The sequence below is a fragment of the Homo sapiens genome, chromosome 5 (genome assembly GCF_000001405.40).
Source record: "Homo sapiens chromosome 5, GRCh38.p14 Primary Assembly".
NCBI lineage: Eukaryota > Metazoa > Chordata > Mammalia > Primates > Hominidae > Homo > Homo sapiens.
Window position 1 is genome coordinate 43,600,646 of NC_000005.10, and position 17,470 is coordinate 43,618,115.

The following is a 17,470-nucleotide window of genomic DNA, read 5'->3' on the forward strand; positions in this document are numbered from 1 at the left end:
AGGTTAGTGATGGTTCCCTTAAAACCTGTCGAGTGTCTGCATTGTTAGACACACTGAAATCTAAGAATCCCATCTCTCTGGGGCTGTTCACTTTACTAATAATTATTTATAAAAGGGAAGCTGAGACAATAAATTGCCAATAACCATGTAACATAATAACCACAATGAAAAGACATTAAAGCTACCTTTTCTGTAGCCTGATTTTACCTAGATGGTGGGTTTTGGTAACAAGCCATCACTAGAGGTCAGTTTTTGATTACATGTCTTCTCAGGTTCAGCCTATGTTTTGATTTTTGGCTACTGGGCACCTCTCTGGTTTTTAGGCTTTAAAGCAGATCCAAATGTTATATTATAGTCTTGTAAATGTTTCATCCTTTTTGCTTCTGATAGATTAGAACTCTAATTATTAAAAACTATTTTTAAGCATTTGTGACTACAAAAACTCCTAAACTTCAAATGGTTTAAATTTTGATGTTTATTTTAATTTTAAAATATTTTAAAAATTATTCAATAATAGAACAATCTGTAATGAAAACTTACACATATGTGAGAGGTACTATTTTAAGATGAGAGTTTGCAGGTCAAATTAGTCAGGGAGGAAAGAGTAGAAGTCAGAGTGGGAAAGGCCCTTAAAACTTAATAGGGAATATCAAATCTCTACAAAAATTTTATTCAAGACAGTGTCTAAGACTTAGAAGCAACTAACTTAAAAGCAAACTTTTGGAACTTAATCCTATTTTCATTGGGGACTCCGTTTATGAATAATATGCTGTAATTATACGTAGAAGCTTAAGGACTGAAACAGAGCATTCCAAATGACAAATGTTTTCTCCTGAAGAAATGGCACCCAAATTATGTTGTACAAGTAAGCGGAATAAAATAATCATATGCTTGTTATTAAAATTATCATATGCCTAACATTCATGATTTTCAAAAGTGAAAAACAGTATGTTATCTTTGAGTTTGTTTTCATGTGATATAAATTTATAAGCAAGTCAAAATTAAATAATGTACTGAGCATTAATTTAAGCCAGGATTTTTCAGCCTCAGCACTATTGACATTTGGGGCTGGATAATGCTTCGTCGTGAGGGGCTGTGTAGTGTGAGGTGTTCAGTAATATCCCTGGCCCCAACCCATTAGATAGGTCCCCTCTCCAATTGTGACAACCAAAATGTCTCTAGACATTGCCAAATATCCCTCGGAACTAAATTGTCCCCAGTTGGGAACCACGAATTATTAATCCCTAAAAGACAAAGCAGCAACTCCTGACCCCTACAAAAAGTTTTAAATCAATAACTTAGTTTAAAATCCTTACTAAGTGGGATCATTACTAATCTCACTTCATTGTACCTTCAGTATCTGGAAACCGTCCCTATGGTCACACTTACCACGGCTCATTATTATTTTAAAACATGGGGCTGTGTCATTTCCTGTCTGTGAGTTTGGACTGCAGTGGGAATCCATTAGTTGAATGACCTTCTGTGTAGGTTAATCACAAGACAAGTTCTCAAACTAAGGGTTTCCCTGCGGCTCATTTCTTTTTAAAGTTATGGAATACCTGTTCTGCTTATACCTTTTAGATTCATAATTATTTTTCTTGTATCAAAATTTCAATTAATAGAAATAAATGACGTTACTGACACTTCATGATGATTAAGTTTTGGGCAAGTGAACCATTTTACACTCTATTTTTTATTCCTCCCACTTTTAGTCAGAATACACCTGCAGAATAAGTAACAGAACTGTGTGAAAAGAACGACTAGGTCATTACGGTTAATAGTTTTAGAAAAACAGCCGAGGCCTGGTCTGGAAAGCTCACAACCTCCACCCAGATGCTTTCCAGCCTCGGGGATATTCGTACTAGCAGTGACACTAGCCAGCTTCCTCTAGGCTGGCTCTGATGTTGGAAGACAAGCACGCAGATGTGTGTTACTTTTCAAGCCTGGACATCGTTTCTGAGGAATTTAACTCCACCTCTCCTGCCAGAATGGAAAATCAACGCCCCCCATTCCCGCCCTTCACCAACCCCTCTCCGCCTGCCCCTTTCCCTTGGGTCCTCTCTGTTACAGAAGTTCTGATTTTTCCTAGCGAGCTGGAGGAAAGGCAGGTACCCGGAGTGGAGTTATATTACCTGTTTCTTTGTTCTGATGGGACCCCAGAGAGGACATCACGCTTTGTAACTGGTTCTTCAAGGGGAGAAGCAAATGTGTCCCTGAAAACTTCAGCTGCCGCGTTTGGCACCAGGTTTGATTGACAAGGACTGGCGGAGGGAAAGCGCGGAGGCTGGGCTGGGGGCCGCAGGCCGAGGCAGAGACAAAGAGGTTTCGCCTGTCCCCGAGAGTGGAAGGGCCCCTGGGGGTAACTAGCCTTTGAGCTCAAAGGGGCATTTCGTGAGGTCGCCTTTTGGTTCGGAGAGCGCGCGGCGATCGGGTGGAGGGGGCCTGGCGGGAAGAAAGCTGGGGCGGGGAAGGGGCGCGGGCCGAGGTGGGAGCGGAGCTGCAGTCACGTGGCCGCCCGCCGCCGCGGAGTTGGGGCTGTTCTTCCGGGTTGGAGGCGCAGCGCCGCGGGGCCCAAGCCCGGGTCTGCCAGCGCGACGTCCTCTCGCGGCCCTCAGGGCACAGCCCAAGGCTGTCAGCCTCCCGGCCCAGGTGAGCGCGACGGCACTGGCGGGTGCGGGCAGCCGGGGCGCGCGCCTAGGGCGCAGCTGGGAAAGGGGCTCGGGCCTTTCCTGAAGACCACGGCCCTCGCCGGGAGAGAGACCTGTCAAAGAGCAAAGCGGGGCGGGGTCGGCGGTGTCCCGGGCGCAGGGTGCATTGGGGTGTCCGCAGGCCGCAGGCTTAGGTGGGGAAGAAGCACCGTGCCTCTTGGTGTCCCTTTCTCGTCTCCTGCTGGGGCGATGTCGAAGGGAGTGGGCTGGTGGATTTGGGAACTGGGTCCCCGAAGAGGGCAGGGAATGAGGCGGCAGCTGTGCAGGTGCAGATATTTGCAGCTTTGGGGGACAGCGAGAGTCGTACGGGGTCATTTCGGCCCTCAAGATCGGGGGTGGTGGAGAGGGAGGTCATAGAGGACTTTCGATGGGCGGTTCATCCAGAGAGGTGGCAGCTGGATGCCCTTGAGGTATGCTTGACCCTTGAGGGAGTTCGGAGAGGGTGTCCGGCTGGGGACATAGGAGATTGCGAGCACAAATTGTGAGTGTGAGTTGGGGCGGTCTGGCGGTGGTGGGTACAAGTTTCTGGGGCCTAGGCTGGTGAGGAGGAAGAGACAGCGGAGAGGGCGACCTGGGCAGAGCTAGTTCAAACTCAACAGCCGGAATGACTATTTGCAGCCGTGGCCAATCGGCTTCCTAGGGAGGTTATAAATAGCGGTCTCGTGCAGATGCCAGCGGGTGGCAGTTAGTTGCCGAGCAAGGGACGGCACCGGTGGCAGTAGCCGTGACACCAGTGGCTTTGGGTGAGGTCACGGCGCCTGCCAGCCGAAGCTGGCTCAGTAGGGTATTGTGTCCTTGCTGGTATGTCTCGCTTTTAAAAGCGTGACTTGTTTATGGTTGCCGGTGTCCTTTATTCACCCTGTGGCGCCGGCCAGTCCTTAGGTGGTCTGTTTGTCAGGAGTCTTGTAGGACAGACTTATTCGGAGAAGCGCGTGGGGCTTAGGTGCCTACCTACTCTTCTTATTTAAAGTGTGCCCCTTTTCTTCATTGCACCCCTTTTATTTGTAAACCTTGACTTTTTATTAACAGACAGTTTAGGATTGCCTTCTTTCCAGCAGGTGCGCTTAGGCTGCTTACCTTGGTGATAGAATCAGTTTTCCACAAGGCTACACAAACATTTCCTTTTCAAAGGAAATTTTCCGAAAATCCTTGGAAAATGTGCTCAATAGGTACTTAGGCTTAAGGTCACCTAGCCCTATTCATTCAGTCAAAAATACTGACTTCCTCTGTGTTGTGCAAAGCACTGGGGGAGAGTAATACCAAAGTGAATATAACAGCTGATAAGGATATTCTCAGTCCTGGCAACAACCCTGAGAGGTAGGTGCTGTTATTTTATTTTTTCAAGTCTCGCTCTGTTGTCCAAGCTGGAGTACAGTGGCACAATCACGGCTTACTGCAGCCTGGAACTCCTGGGCTCAAGTGATTCTCCCACCTCAGACTCCCAAGTAGCTGGGACTTCAGGCTTGCACCACCATGCCCTGCTAATTAATTTTTTTTTTTTAGCAATGGGGGTCTCACTGTGTTGGCCAGGCTAGTCTTGAATTCTTGGCCTCAAGCAGTCCTCCCCACTAGCCTCCCAAAGAGATGGCATTATAGGCGTGAGCCACCACCCTGGGTGGGTGCTATTATTCCCCATTTTAAAGATGAGGAAATTAAGTACAGGGAAGTTAAGTGACTTCCCAAGGTCACACAGCCAATAAGTTGCAGAGTGGGGCTTCCAATCCGCAGATCCAGAGCTGACTCTCTTAAATATCTGTGGTATCCTCCCTCTTTAGGTTGGGTGCTTTCCCTCAAGGATTTTAATATCTAATAGGGGAAATAACCCATATAAGTTACATTAAACATACATATGAAAGCAATGCTTAAAAAGTTGTGCTTTTGGGCCGGGCGCGGTGGCTCACGCCTGTAATCCCAGCACTTTGGGAGGCCGAGGCGGGTGGATCATGAGGTCAGGAGATCGAGACCATCCTGGCTAACAAGGTGAAACCCCGTCTCTACTAAAAATACAAAAAATTAGCCGGGCGCGGTGGCGGGCGCCTGTAGTCCCAGCTACTCGGGAGGCTGAGGCAGGAGAATGGCGTGAACCCGGGAAGCGGAGCTTGCAGTGAGCCGAGATTGCGCCACTGCAGTCCGCAGTCCGGCCTGGGCGACAGAGCGAGACTCCGTCTCAAAAAAAAAAAAAAAAAAAAAAAAAAAAAGTTGTGCTTTTTTCCCCTAATTTTGAGTTATAAAGTTTTTTTCTTATTGCTTCAAAGCCACAGGAACACATGGATAAATGAGAGCTTTACAGTGAAGATGGAGGAAAATGTGATGATTAGGATGGAGTATTATCTTTTGTATAAACCTGTACAGGTCAATGATAAGATAGTTTAAATATTCTCTATCTTTCAGGGCCATTTGTATTTGGTTTAGACTTAGTGATATGTATTGCTTTTGCCAAGAAATGACCTCCTGATCTCTGCCCTGTATGTTCACAGTTGAATCAAGTGAAATTTTTCACAGAAATGGGCCTATGAAGGCTTTGGCCCTACTGATGTCTGATGCCCCTGCCAAGGATCTGCTGAACATCAAATTACCATTTTCCAAGTAGAAGGAACAAATTTTCCAGATTTCAGGCCATGAAATAGGACTTCAGTTTTATAGCATTACAAAGTCTCATCTAATCATAAAATTTCTAGAGACTAAAATGGCCTTTGAAACCTGTGCTTTTTTTATAGTTGAGCTAACTGAGGCAGGGGGAGGTTCAGGTCGAACAGTAAGTGAGTGGCAGATTTGGACAATACAGGACTCTATTAAAGCTCAGTTCACTCTTTTGCTGATGAGGTCTGGGAACTCTTTGTCAGCCCCATAAAAATGGTGGTTGTTGGGGAGTTGGGATGATCCAAGAAGAGAAACTTGGGTAAGTGGGGAGGTTGGGATAGGAGTAGGTCACTCAGTAATGGTGGGGAAAAAAAATCTCACTCAAGACAAGAATAATCTTTTACACATCTTTGCAACTCCCTTAGTTCTTGGCATAGATTCGGTAGGGGTTTTGAATGTGTAGCTGAATTTCGAACTAATTTTCTCTTTATTCTCAGCCATGATAACTCTAGATGTGACCCATGAATGAATGAGTAGGGTATTTATGAGACTTGAGAATACTTTAGGACTGAAATGAAATGACATGATATGTGGAAACACTTTGAACATGTAAAGCTGTCTGTCCAAATGCAAATAATTATTCATACATATTTTTAATTGCATGCCAAAACACATCTTGCATTCTTTCTTCCTTAGCTATTTTTCATTTGATTCTCTTCATCTCAAACGGCTTTCCCTTCCTTTTCTGAGCTCTAAAAGAGGACACAATCTCATTCTTTGATCCTTCAAAGGACTCTGAGCTTGTGTTACTCTGTTACTCTACTTTGTAGTGTTATTATTTGTTGACTTCTTATCTCCAGGAAAATTCCAGTTTGATTCTACAAGTGCTTCTTAATGGCAAAACTCTGCCCTTGGTATATATTTGTTGAATTAAGGGGCATCTTATGAATAAATATGCTCCCTGGATTAAAAATTTCCATTACCAATGCTGCTTTCTGGTATTTTAAAGATGTTTCTTCAAGGAGTTGTGGCAGCAGGTTTTTTTTGTTTTTTGTTTTTTTGTTTTTTTTTTGAGACAGAGTCTTGCTCTCTCGCCCAGGCTGGCAGGCTGGCAGGCTGGAGTGTAGTGGCATGATCTCGGCTCACTGCAACCTTTGCCTCCCAAGTTCAAGCGATTCTGGTGCCTCAGCTTCATGAGTAGCTGGGACTACAGGTGCGCACCATCACTCCTGTCAGGACTCTGAGCCCAAGCTAAGCCATCATAACCCCTGTGATCTGCACGTATACATCCAGATGGCCTGAAGCAACTGAAGAACCACAAAAGAAGTGAAAATGGCCAGTTCCTGCCTTAACTGATGACATTCCACCATTGTGATTTGTTTGTGCCCAACCCTAACTGATCAATTGACCTTGTGACATTCCTTCTCCTGGACAATGAGTCTCAGGAGCTCCCCACTGAGCACCTTGTGACCCCCACCACTGTCTGCAAGAGAAAACCTCCCTTAACTGTAATTTTCCACCACCTACCCAAATCCTATAAAACTGCCCCACCCCTATCTGTCTTTGCTGACTCTCTTTTCGGACTCAGCCCACTTGCACCCAAGTGAAAATAAACAGCCTTGTTGCTCACACAAAGCCTGTTTGGTGGTCTCTTCACACGGACGTGCATAACAACGCCCGGCTAATTTTTTGTATTTTTAGTAGAGACGAGGTTTTGCCATGTTGCCCAGGCTGGTCTTGAACTGCTGAACTCAGGCAACGCCTCCCAAAGTGCTAGGATTACAGGCATGAGCCACCAAGCCTGGCCAGTGGCAGCAGTTCTGAAATTAAAAATGAGCTAAGTCTTTCTCCCTCTGGAGTCTGGAAGAACATTTACGGAGCCTGCTAGGATCAGATGCTCAGTCCCGTGAGGGTCCACATGATACAGCAGAACTTACAGGCAGAGTTAGCAGTGTTAGCTGAGTTTGGCTGATAAAATTCTAAGTCCTTGGCTGCTTTCTATTCTTTTTTTTTTTGAGACGGTGTCTCACTCTGTCACCCAGGCTGGAGTGCAGTGGTGCAATCTTGGCTCACTGCATCCTCCACCTCCCAGGTTCAACCAATTCTCCTGCTTCAGCCTCCTGAGTAGCCAGGATTACAGGTGCCAGCTACCAGGGCCGGCTAATTTTTATATTTTTAGTAGAAACGGGGTTTCACCATGTTGGTCAGGCTGGTCTCGAACTCCTGACCTCGTGATCTGCTCACCTTGGCCTCCCAAAGTGCTGGGATTACAGGCATAAGCCACTGCGCCTGGCTTCTTTCCATTCTTGAAAGAAAGAAGAGAAAGGTATGGAGGATCATTGGGAATTATGGGGACAGTGGGAGTGCCTTTCATGCATCCCTGGGGATCTACTGAGGAATGTGGTGGAGGTAGTTCCTGAAACCTTAGTAACAGCAAAACCCAGTGACACTTCACGCAGCCTGGTGAGAACTCGCAAAAAGTGGCCATTTGTGAGAACCACTGACAAAACAGTTCATAGTTATGGCCACATCAGCAAGCACAAGCCTATTTGATAAAGATACTATGGAATTTTTCTTTCTTTCTTCTTTCTTAGAGTCATGTGTCATGCATGTTTAATTTTCTTGAGAGGTGCACTTGGCAAACATGAATCTTTTGTTCACTCAGTCAGCCTCAGTTCAGAGGTCTCAGTGGATAAGCATCCTGCTGCACTGAACAGGATGTCAGAGTATTTGGTATGACCTGGTGGCTAAATGTAAGTCACCATTATACTGTACAGTATTTTAGGTAATTTAAGGGAAATTCAAAGGTAACTGAATTACATGCACTTTTTGCTGGACATGCTGACTTAGAAGATAACTTTCATGTAAGATACAACTTGATTCTGTAGCAATATGTGTGTGTATTAAAGCTTTCTAGCTACATTAAGGATCAAATAGGTTATATGACCTAGGCTTGGAATTGAATAGTGAGTTTAGAACTCCAATTTTAGTGGGAAAATGGATTCCAAGTTTTAAATGTCTGAACTGGAAAACGAATTTTGAGCATCTTCTATAAGTAAGGAACTTGGCAAATAAATTCTTTATAGATGTCTACATGTAACTGTTATATTTCAAGCTCTTTAGATTAGTATTTTTAAAATGTTTTTCATGTTTAAAAGACAAATAGTTTTTTTCTTGGCATATATACATCCTATTTTCTTTTTTCTTAGTGATTTGCCTTCAAGGAAACTGGGGAGTCAGAAAATTGGGAACTCATATCAACATGGCAAACCTATTGAAAACAGTGGTGACTGGCTGCTCGTGTCCTCTACTTAGCAATTTGGGGTCCTGTAAGGGTCTACGTGTGAAGAAGGATTTTTTACGAACATTTTATACTCACCAAGAACTGTGGTGTAAAGCGCCTGTAAAACCAGGTAAAGTCTCACTTCAGTGATTGTAAATGAAACCTTCAAGTCATAGGAACTAATAGATCTGATGATTGATAAAAGGAAAAGCCATGTAGTTTTATGGCCTGGTGCTTGTGAGTGATCATTTTAAACAAACAACAAGTAAGTGCTATCTTGTATTTTCCATGTACTATAGACGTTCCTGATTTCCAGCGCTAACAGAGAAGACAAGGTAATAGAAAAAACAAACAAACAAAAAAGATAAACCAGTTGAGTTGTCCCTGGAGCCTATTGCTCATAATAACCATTTCTCCTAGAAGCCCTTCCTAATTCCTTGTTAGTATTTGAGAATTGTACCATATACAGCTCATCTATGCTCAGGAATTAGGAATTAAGTATATTAATTGGTCTACATTAATGCTTTCCAATTTAGTTAGTAGCAATTTGATTGCAGTTGCTCAGGTCAGAAACCCTGGAGTCATTCTACATCCTCCTAGTAGGTATAGGTCAGCTCCATCTCATATCTACAAACTGTCCTCTTCTTGCCATTGCTACTTTTATCATCTTGGTCCAAGCCATCGTCATCTGTCACCTGTACTGATGCACCAGTCTTCTAAATGTCTCTGTGCTTTTTACCTCTGCCCCCTACAGTCTGTTCTGCACAGGACAGTGAGAATAATCTTTTTAAAATGTACAGTCATGTCACTCCTCAATTCAAAATTTGCCACTTGCTTCCTAGCTCTTACAGAGGAAGATCTGAAGTCTTCCAGTGGCCTACAAGGCCTTCCCTGATAGAATGTCTCCTTGCTTCTGTTCTGGGGTACAGGCCAGAAGGAGGAGAGGCTAAAAAGGGGCCCTTCTAAACCAAGTCAACTGTCTGTCTTTTTTTTTTTTTTTTTTTTTTAAGCAGCAGCAAGATTTATTGCAAAGAGCGAAAGAACAAAGCTTCCACAGAATGGAAGGGGACCCGAGCAGGTTGTCCCCCAAGTCAACTCTCTTTCATCAGTCTTGCCCAAAGATCATCCCAGTACTTCTGTCACTTCACCTCACTGTCCAGAACTCAGACATGTAGCTGTAAGGGAGACTTGGACATTTTGCTGTAAGGGAGACTTGGACATTTTGTCTTTTATTCTAGATGGCAATGTACCCAGCTAAAAATGGCATTTTCTTATTAAGGTGAAGGAACAGGATGGATATTTTGGGGGGCAACCTTTGTCACCTAGAATAATGCCCTCTTTTGTTTTTTAAGTTTGTAGGACTGTTTGTGGATTCATTAAGGACCTCTAAACTGCTAGGTGTTTTGAGATCTTATGTCTGCCTTGAATAGATTTTATAGCCTCTTTTCTTGTTCTCAGATGACAAGTCACAATTGGCAGGGTATCTGTCCCTACAAGCCTCCAACTTTATCTTCAGATGCTTTCTTTTAAATTGCTCTGGAAAGCCAGATTATCCTGGTGATAAAATTGTGTATAAAATAAAGGTAAATAACTGTTGAAGACATGAAAACTGTCCTTGTGAGTAAATCCATGGACATCAAGATCTCTATATTGATTATGTATAAGACATTTTTGTTTAATTTCTGGTTCTTCACTATTTCCTAATTATTTTTATCTCTGAAAGATAAGAAGTCTATTTTTTCCTTAATATAACCATAAGTTCATTACCATATTGAAAAGTGTAGTAAGTAATTCCAGCTACAGTCAGTATTCATATTTTTTCAATTGCTTTCTTGCTTCTTTCCTTCCTTCTTTCCTTCCTCCCTCCCTCCCTCCCTGCCTCCCTCCCTCCCTCCCTCTTTTTCTTTACAGTTGGCTTGTTCAAAGAGTGATCCAAACAGGGTCCACACATTGTATTTGCTATGTCTCTTTTGTCTCTTTTTATCTATAAGTTCCCCTCTCTTTATTCCTTTTAATATACTGAAGAATTTCATTGTTGCTCTGTAGAATTAACAACATTCTAGGTTTGGCTGATTGAATCCTCTTGGTATTGTTTAGCCAGTTTCTCTGTCCCTTGTATGTGCTTAAATTATCTCTTATTTGGTCAGTGGAAGCCCTTTCAAATTGGCTTCTAAATCCTTTTGACATGGCTTCAGTCATCTTTGGTAGCTTCCTTGCTTTTGCCATGTAGAGCCTGACAATTTGAGGTTGTCAGCTAAGTGAACTTGAGATGAGTGTATGTGATTGAGCTTTGTATGTCAATCCAAATATTTGCCAGCTTTCTATTATTTTCCTCCTTCTCCTTCCAGTAAGGAGTAAGATTCAGCATTATTTGCCTTTCGTGTACTGTAAATTATTACTATATAGGTAGTGTGGAATCTAAGACAGTGTTCAAATTCAGGTCTAGGTTGACTTAATTTCTCTAAGGTCTTACTTAATAAGTTACTTTGTAGGGATAATTTCATTCATTTTGAAATTATACATATTCAGATCTTAGGTTGCAAGAATGGGTTTCCTAAGCTTTAATAAACCTTATATAGAAACAGATACTCTTCATTAAAAAATGTTTATGCTGCATATTAAGTAAAACATCAGGAGAAACTGATGTCCTGTAGCTAAAGATGGTCTGAACCATATCTAAATATAAGATTGTACTATATAGGCTTTTTTGGGTTGCAAGGAACAGAATCACATCAGATTATATTTTGTGATGAGGGTTTGCTATGTGGATTCTTGGCAAGTGTGAGAGCCCAGAAACCCCCCATCTACTCCTTGGATAAGTGGAATGTTATTTGTAGAATTCATGGCTGTGACCCATCTTCTCTCTTTAAATATCTACTACTGATGTTTCTATCACTGTTACTGCTGACCTCCCTTTGATTACCTCATAGCTGTGCTTACAAATAATATTTGCACTGATCTACTCTCCTTGTCCCTCTCTGTGGGTCTCCCATTTAAACTCCTTGAGAGAGAACCCAGTGGGTTGAGTAGTCACTGGCCAACATAGAGCGTCCTTGGACAGAGTTCCTGTCTAAGTCATCTTATAAGGTGCAGCTGCTAGTTTTCCTTGTCTGCCCTGTAGATGATTGTCCTTGACACAGTTGCTGATCCCTTGTCTAAGTGGCTGAGTGTGTAGAGTCTTAAGATACAACACTTAGAAATTTATGAGGCATTGTGTGTGGCCAAATTGCCTGGAAGGGAACTTTGAGTGTGGCAGGCCATCAAAGTGTCTAGGATACAGTTGTTCTTCAAAATAGCTAATTACTTCCAATTTTGTTAAAAGTAAGGGCAAGGAGACCATAACCTTGCCCTTAGTTTGAAGAATGGAGTCAGCATGTGGAGGGATCTCTAAACCCATTTTTTTTTCTCCTACAAATCAACTAAGCTTGTTATATTCCTTGAAGAAAGCCAATTGATTAAATAAAATATTTAGAAGTTTCAGAAGAGTAGGCATAAAAGTTTCTTATAATCTACCACAAAAGTCAAAGAATTATAAGTATGAATCAGGAACATCATTCTGAACAGCAGCTTGCATGTGTGGTATATTTTGAAGAAAAGATTGCTCCTTTCAATTTTCTGAAATCTGTTTTTAAACATTTTTTGTTTGTTTTTTTACCAAATATATATTTTTTTTGCCTTTGCTTGTTTCTAGGAATTCCATATAAGCAACTGACTGTTGGAGTCCCCAAAGAGATATTCCAAAATGAGAAGCGAGTGGCATTGTCTCCTGCTGGTGTTCAGAACTTGGTCAAGCAGGGTTTTAATGTTGTCGTGGAATCGGGTGCGGGCGAAGCTTCCAAGTTCTCAGATGATCACTATAGAGTGGCAGGTGCCCAAATCCAAGGGGCAAAGGAAGTGCTGGCTTCTGATTTGGTGGTCAAAGTAATTATTCCTTTTTCCTCTCCCATTTACAGCATGCTGACTTTTTGAAATCTTTTCATAGAAAAATTAAATTACTTTATCTGGAGTTACACCTTTTCCTATTTTCAAACAGTGTATTTTTCTCAAAGAAATGACTGCATGTCGTCATATTCTTCATGCTCCAGTAAAACTTTTATCAGACAATATGATCTATGTTTAACCATGAGGAGAGAAAAAGTGATCTTCATTTTTACATTTGCTATATGGACATTTTCTTTTAATTGGCTAGGAAAAATTTGTTCTACATGGTCCATATATATCCAGAGTACCCACACGTGAACATTTACTGCTAGAATGGAAAGAAGGTATGGAACTTAGTCTGGGACTAAATGTTCAGTGATCTTCTGACACCTGAAGGCGCAATGACTTACACTGACATACGTGCTATTTCTAGAGAGGGCATGACTATTTTGGAGAAAGCAGCTTTGGGCTGAGTGGCGAGTAGCTTTACCTACTCTAAAATAAGTTCTTAAGGTAATATATAACAGAAATCTATATACTAAATGACTTGAGAATTAAAATATTAAATAAAAAATCCTTTAGAGAAAGGGGGAGAGACTGTATCAAGGGTCTAGCACAGATGATAACTAGAGTTGAGCATTAAATTAAATGCTAAGCCTCCTGCAACCAAAGCAAACAGGGAAGTAACTCATTTTTTCAGGAGATACAGCTTTTTTCTACATTAATTTCTATGAGGTATCAATCACATAGTTTTTTTATTTCCTTACATAAAGCCCACTGAATAACTTGACAGGATCCTAACACTTGACAGGTGGTTTTTGCTAAAGTTACAAAACCAATTTTTGCTATTGAAAGTTAATAGTAAAATTTGTGGCATGGGGGTTAACTGTAACTCAGCTAAAGCTTTTTAAAGGTTTAAGTTTACAAATACTTGGTGATATAGCTAGATATATAGTAAAATTACTTAGAGAAAAAAGAAGAGTATAATTCATTCTCATATATATTCTAGGGATCATCTTTTGAGATGTCTTGAAAAAGCCCTATAAGGGTGTGCTTACATTTTGGAAGTGCTATGTGTTCCTTTTAGGGATTCACAATGTATATAAGCAGTTAATGGTGTGCTCAGAAATCCTATAACATAGAATATTGTATGACTTTATACAGTACTAGCATTAACAAACTTCTTGATCTTGGGGGCCTCTCATTTGAGCCAAGTCTGTTAATATCCTGAGGAGCGCATTCAGGGAAACATTCTATTGGCTTGACTTACTCAGATGACAGCGGTCTCAGCTGAGCATTTGATAGGGGCCAGTAGAATCAATTCAGAGTTGTTTTCTAACTTTTACTAAATCTATGTTATAGATTTTCTTGGAGGAAAAGTAGACCTTGTCAGAGAGCCTTAATTAAAGTCCAGAACCTAGAAACATATGCATCACCAGATCAACAACTGAAATGGGAATAGCAGACAAAGGTGTCTCATAGGTAAATTGAGGTGAAATGCTGTGAGATAAACTTATTGACCCAATGTTTGTGTTTGTATTTAAAACATAAGTCCCAGAGGCTGTGTTTTCTGTGTTTACTTGCCTAAAAGCACTATTGCTAACTAGGAACTAATGAAATGGGATATTTTATTTGAAGGTTGATTTTAAACTTGGATATAAAACATTTTAAAATACATTTAAAATACAGTTTTAAAAATTTGGCTTTAAAAAATGGATGGCCGGGCGCAGTGGCTCACGCCTGTAATCCCAGCACTTTGGGAGGCCGAGGCGGGTGGATCATGAGGTCAGGAGATCGAGACCATCCTGGCTAACAAGGTGAAACCCCGTCTCTACTAAAAATACAAAAAATTAGCCGGGCGCGGTGGCGGGCGCCTGTAGTCCCAGCTACTCGGGAGGCTGAGGCAGGAGAATGGCGTGAACCCGGGAAGCGGAGCTTGCAGTGAGCCGAGATTGCGCCACTGCAGTCCGCAGTCCGGCCTGGGCGACAGAGCGAGACTCCGTCTCAAAAAACAAAAAAAAATAAATAAAATAAAAAATAAAATAAAAAATGGATATTGGAAACTTTCAAGCATATGGAGTGTATATTCATTGACTTAGTTGATACTTCTTAATGTAACAGAATATATTGTAGCTTTTGGCTTAAACCCAATTCAGCAAGGTTACTAGTGTGAATTGTGTTCATCTAATAAATAGTCATCTGGAATTTTAAAGTGACATAAATCTATACTTAGTTTTAGTTTATGATGTTCTTAATGTCTCATCACTCCAATTATTCATGCTTGCCAAAATTAGCAAGGACTGAATCTTGCTTGAAGGATTGAACACACAACAAAACTTCCTGTCTGTTTATTCTAATATCTGTTAATTTTACCAGGGTAATAAGTTTTGGGGACTGCAGGTTTGCTGTAGAGCTTCCATATATTTTTTCACCTCTCTGCAGTTAATTGTCAAACCAGTCTCAGTATTTTGTATTTCCCAGGTGTGTGTGCCCTTTACTCAGAGCAGTCCACAGGTCATTAGGCAGGGGATAGATGGTATACCTCTGTGTGTGCCTTATATTGCTTAAGAATTTAGTCAGAAATTATTGATGGAAGATTTATTTCTGGAGTATTATTTCAGTCATGGCATATTATCTAAGTTTTCCTGTTTGCTTAAAAATATGATTAAAGTATTTATATTTATAATCTGTGACTTGATTTTTTCCCCAGGTGCGAGCCCCTATGGTTAATCCAACATTAGGTGTTCATGAAGCTGACCTTTTAAAGACATCAGGAACGCTGATTAGTTTTATTTACCCAGCCCAAAATCCAGAGTTGCTAAATAAACTTTCCCAAAGAAAAACTACAGTTCTGGCAATGGACCAGGTTCCAAGAGTCACAATTGCTCAGGGATATGATGCGCTAAGCTCCATGGCCAACATTGCGGGGTAGGTTCTTTTCCATTTCAATTGAACAAAAGCGCAATAGTGCTACAGAAACCTTCACACTGTAGCTCTTCTGTCTTACAGTGATTTTATTTGTAATTATTGTTGGAGATTACAGCCTTTTGAGAGTGCATTTAAATTATTTTTGACTCATTTTATTGTTTTACAGTAATTAGATAGGAAATGAACTCTATTTATATTCCTTTTTAATCTTAATGAGTAGAAGAGTAGTAATGTTTCCATTCACCAAAGCAAATAGCTGTCAGATTATTTGTATGAGGAACACACTGTATTTCATAAATGTGTGTGTACATGTATATGTAAGGTTGAAGTTACTGTTTTTATAGGTCAAAAATGGTAGAATAGTGACAATTTCATGTGGTTAAATTAATATGCATATATTAGTGGATTTGCTGTCTTAATTAGGTTTTGCTTAGGTAAATTTATAAAATATTTAAAGAATAGGAAAAAGGTCTGGACTAGAGGAAGTTTCATCTGATGTCAAAACCCATATTGATAACTGAGGGCTATGTCTTCGACCTTTAAGGTCAAGATGGTAATAAGCTTCATTTGCCCAATAGCACTAATACATTCTATGTTGATTGCCTGGAGTACTATGTTGAGAAGGATTCTAAGGCCCATTCTGCTTGGAGGAATGTGGCTATGATTGAGTAATCATGCCTGCCATGGGTGAGGGACAGGAATAGCTACATGAAAGCAGTGTACTGCTGACTTTGCCTTAAAGGGTGGGAACAATCTGGAAATGGGATAAGGCTTATGAATCAACTTCTCTAAGAAACTAATTAAATTAGATTTTAATCATGAAAACTATTAGTAGTTGAGAATTTGCTAATATTAATGAGGCACAAAGAAAATAACCTTTTTAAAAAAACAGTGCATAAAAAGACACTAACATGACTAACATGAATAAAGCCTTCTATAGCCTGACACCTAAGCAGAAAGTTTTCTTAGGTTTTATATTTTAGCATAGGAAATATGTCATAGATTCTACTTTGTGTTTTAGCTGCACACTTTTAAATTTATTTAGCCTGTAAGGGAGTTATATTATGCAATGTGTGACTTAAAATTTTATCTAGAAAATGTATAATGTAAAGTTTTAAGGGTGCTGTTGATTCTGAAATACACATATGTGAAAGAATATCAAAACCAGTCGCTCTAGATCAAGTGGTTTTAGCTGTTGAATCTTTTGAGCAAATGAAATATTATGAGACAATATAAATAAATCCAGTAAGAGCTGAGTAGCTTTGGGTACACTGAGTATGGCAGGATTGTGCAGAAACATTCCTACTCTCCATCTCATCCACTATGGCCCCAGATTTGTCTGAAGTTTAAACCTTCAGGGACCCAGGGATCACAATTTGAGGAATCACTCTTCTATGTCCTGAGCTGATATATGCAGAGAGCATAGTGTGAAAGGAATCATCTAGTATACATATCCATACAATGTATGATAAATCATTATCCGTCTCATTCATACACACAGCCATATTACAGTGAAGATGTGCTACTTCCACTTCATTACTGTTCATTCTGAACTTTTTTGCTGTCATGAAGAAAATGTCCAATTTATTACTTTTTTCACTATCAATGTTTCCTCGTACATTTCCTGTGTAATCTCCTTTTATTATTTATTTTTCAGAATAGCAACTGAATCTTTTAGAGCATTAATTCCACAATTAATTTCTTACAGTGGCCTTTGAATCTTTGTCATATTTGCCCATTAAAAATTGCTGTCATTTGAATTCAGGAGAGCAACAGATACTGTAATCTCTAAAGTATTGTTTTTTGCTCCAGTGTGATTAACTTAATAATGGTGACTTTATATGTTTTTGCATCAATTATTGTATCAAGTATTATTATGTAAAAATATGATCAGGGAGAAGATTTTCTTGTCACCTAGCAGGGGAGTTTTAATAGTTGCTTTATAATATTGAGCCAGTGTATATATTACCAAGTAAGAATGCAAAAGTGCCTTTTACATATAAATTGCTATGAAAATGAAATTAGTGTAGCATGTTAAAAATATCCTGTT

At 40.6% G+C, this 17,470-nt stretch overlaps 1 protein-coding gene and 1 long non-coding RNA gene across 8 annotated transcripts in view, besides 5 other annotated features; one reads left to right on the forward strand and one right to left on the reverse strand.

The window, feature by feature from the left end:
- NNT-AS1 (NNT antisense RNA 1) overlaps positions 1–2,585 on the reverse strand; it is a 30,046-nt gene extending 27,461 nt beyond the window's left edge. The window contains exon 1 of the long non-coding RNA NR_073113.1: positions 2,133–2,585. This is a non-coding gene — a long non-coding RNA (NNT antisense RNA 1). The remainder of the gene's footprint in view (positions 1–2,132) is intronic.
- Positions 559–728: an enhancer, noted in NCBI's record as "experimental_85301 CRE fragment used in MPRA reporter constructs". NCBI's record gives its function as "activates a minimal promoter by MPRAs in K562 erythroleukemia cells, with activity observed for the non-introgressed 5:43601391 or rs35826690 variant allele {active_cell/tissue: K562}" and the evidence as "EXISTENCE:reporter gene assay evidence [ECO:0000049][PMID:34662402]".
- Position 644: a transcriptional cis regulatory region, noted in NCBI's record as "Neanderthal adaptively introgressed variant 5:43601391 (GRCh37/hg19 assembly coordinates) or rs35826690 in the experimental_85301 CRE". NCBI's record gives its function as "modulates activity of the experimental_85301 enhancer by MPRAs in K562 erythroleukemia cells {active_cell/tissue: K562}" and the evidence as "EXISTENCE:reporter gene assay evidence [ECO:0000049][PMID:34662402]".
- Positions 1,883–2,102: a silencer, noted in NCBI's record as "fragment chr5:43602630-43602849 (GRCh37/hg19 assembly coordinates)". NCBI's record gives its function as "represses an EF-1alpha promoter that drives an FKBP-Casp9 reporter gene in an ReSE screen in K562 erythroleukemia cells {active_cell/tissue: K562}" and the evidence as "EXISTENCE:reporter gene assay evidence [ECO:0000049][PMID:32094911]".
- Positions 2,030–17,470, forward strand: part of NNT (nicotinamide nucleotide transhydrogenase) — a 104,722-nt gene continuing 89,281 nt past the window's right edge. The window contains exons 1-4 of one of the 7 annotated variants that reach the window (NM_012343.4): positions 2,030–2,245; positions 8,498–8,701; positions 12,263–12,492; positions 15,203–15,420. In NM_012343.4, the coding sequence (NP_036475.3) occupies positions 8,551–8,701; positions 12,263–12,492; positions 15,203–15,420 (599 nt within the window). In that variant the 5' untranslated portion in view covers positions 2,030–2,245; positions 8,498–8,550. Of the gene's footprint in view, positions 2,246–2,534; positions 4,026–8,497; positions 8,702–12,262; positions 12,493–13,854; positions 13,975–15,202; positions 15,421–17,470 lie in introns of those variants that run through there. The other 6 variants (XM_005248274.6, XM_017009293.3, XM_011514001.4 and 3 more) reach the window with 6 other exon arrangements.
- Positions 2,366–2,455: a silencer, noted in NCBI's record as "silent region_15996". NCBI's record gives its function as "represses an Ori minimal core promoter by ATAC-STARR-seq in GM12878 lymphoblastoid cells {active_cell/tissue: GM12878}" and the evidence as "EXISTENCE:reporter gene assay evidence [ECO:0000049][PMID:35858748]".
- Positions 2,576–2,795: a silencer, noted in NCBI's record as "silent region_15997". NCBI's record gives its function as "represses an Ori minimal core promoter by ATAC-STARR-seq in GM12878 lymphoblastoid cells {active_cell/tissue: GM12878}" and the evidence as "EXISTENCE:reporter gene assay evidence [ECO:0000049][PMID:35858748]".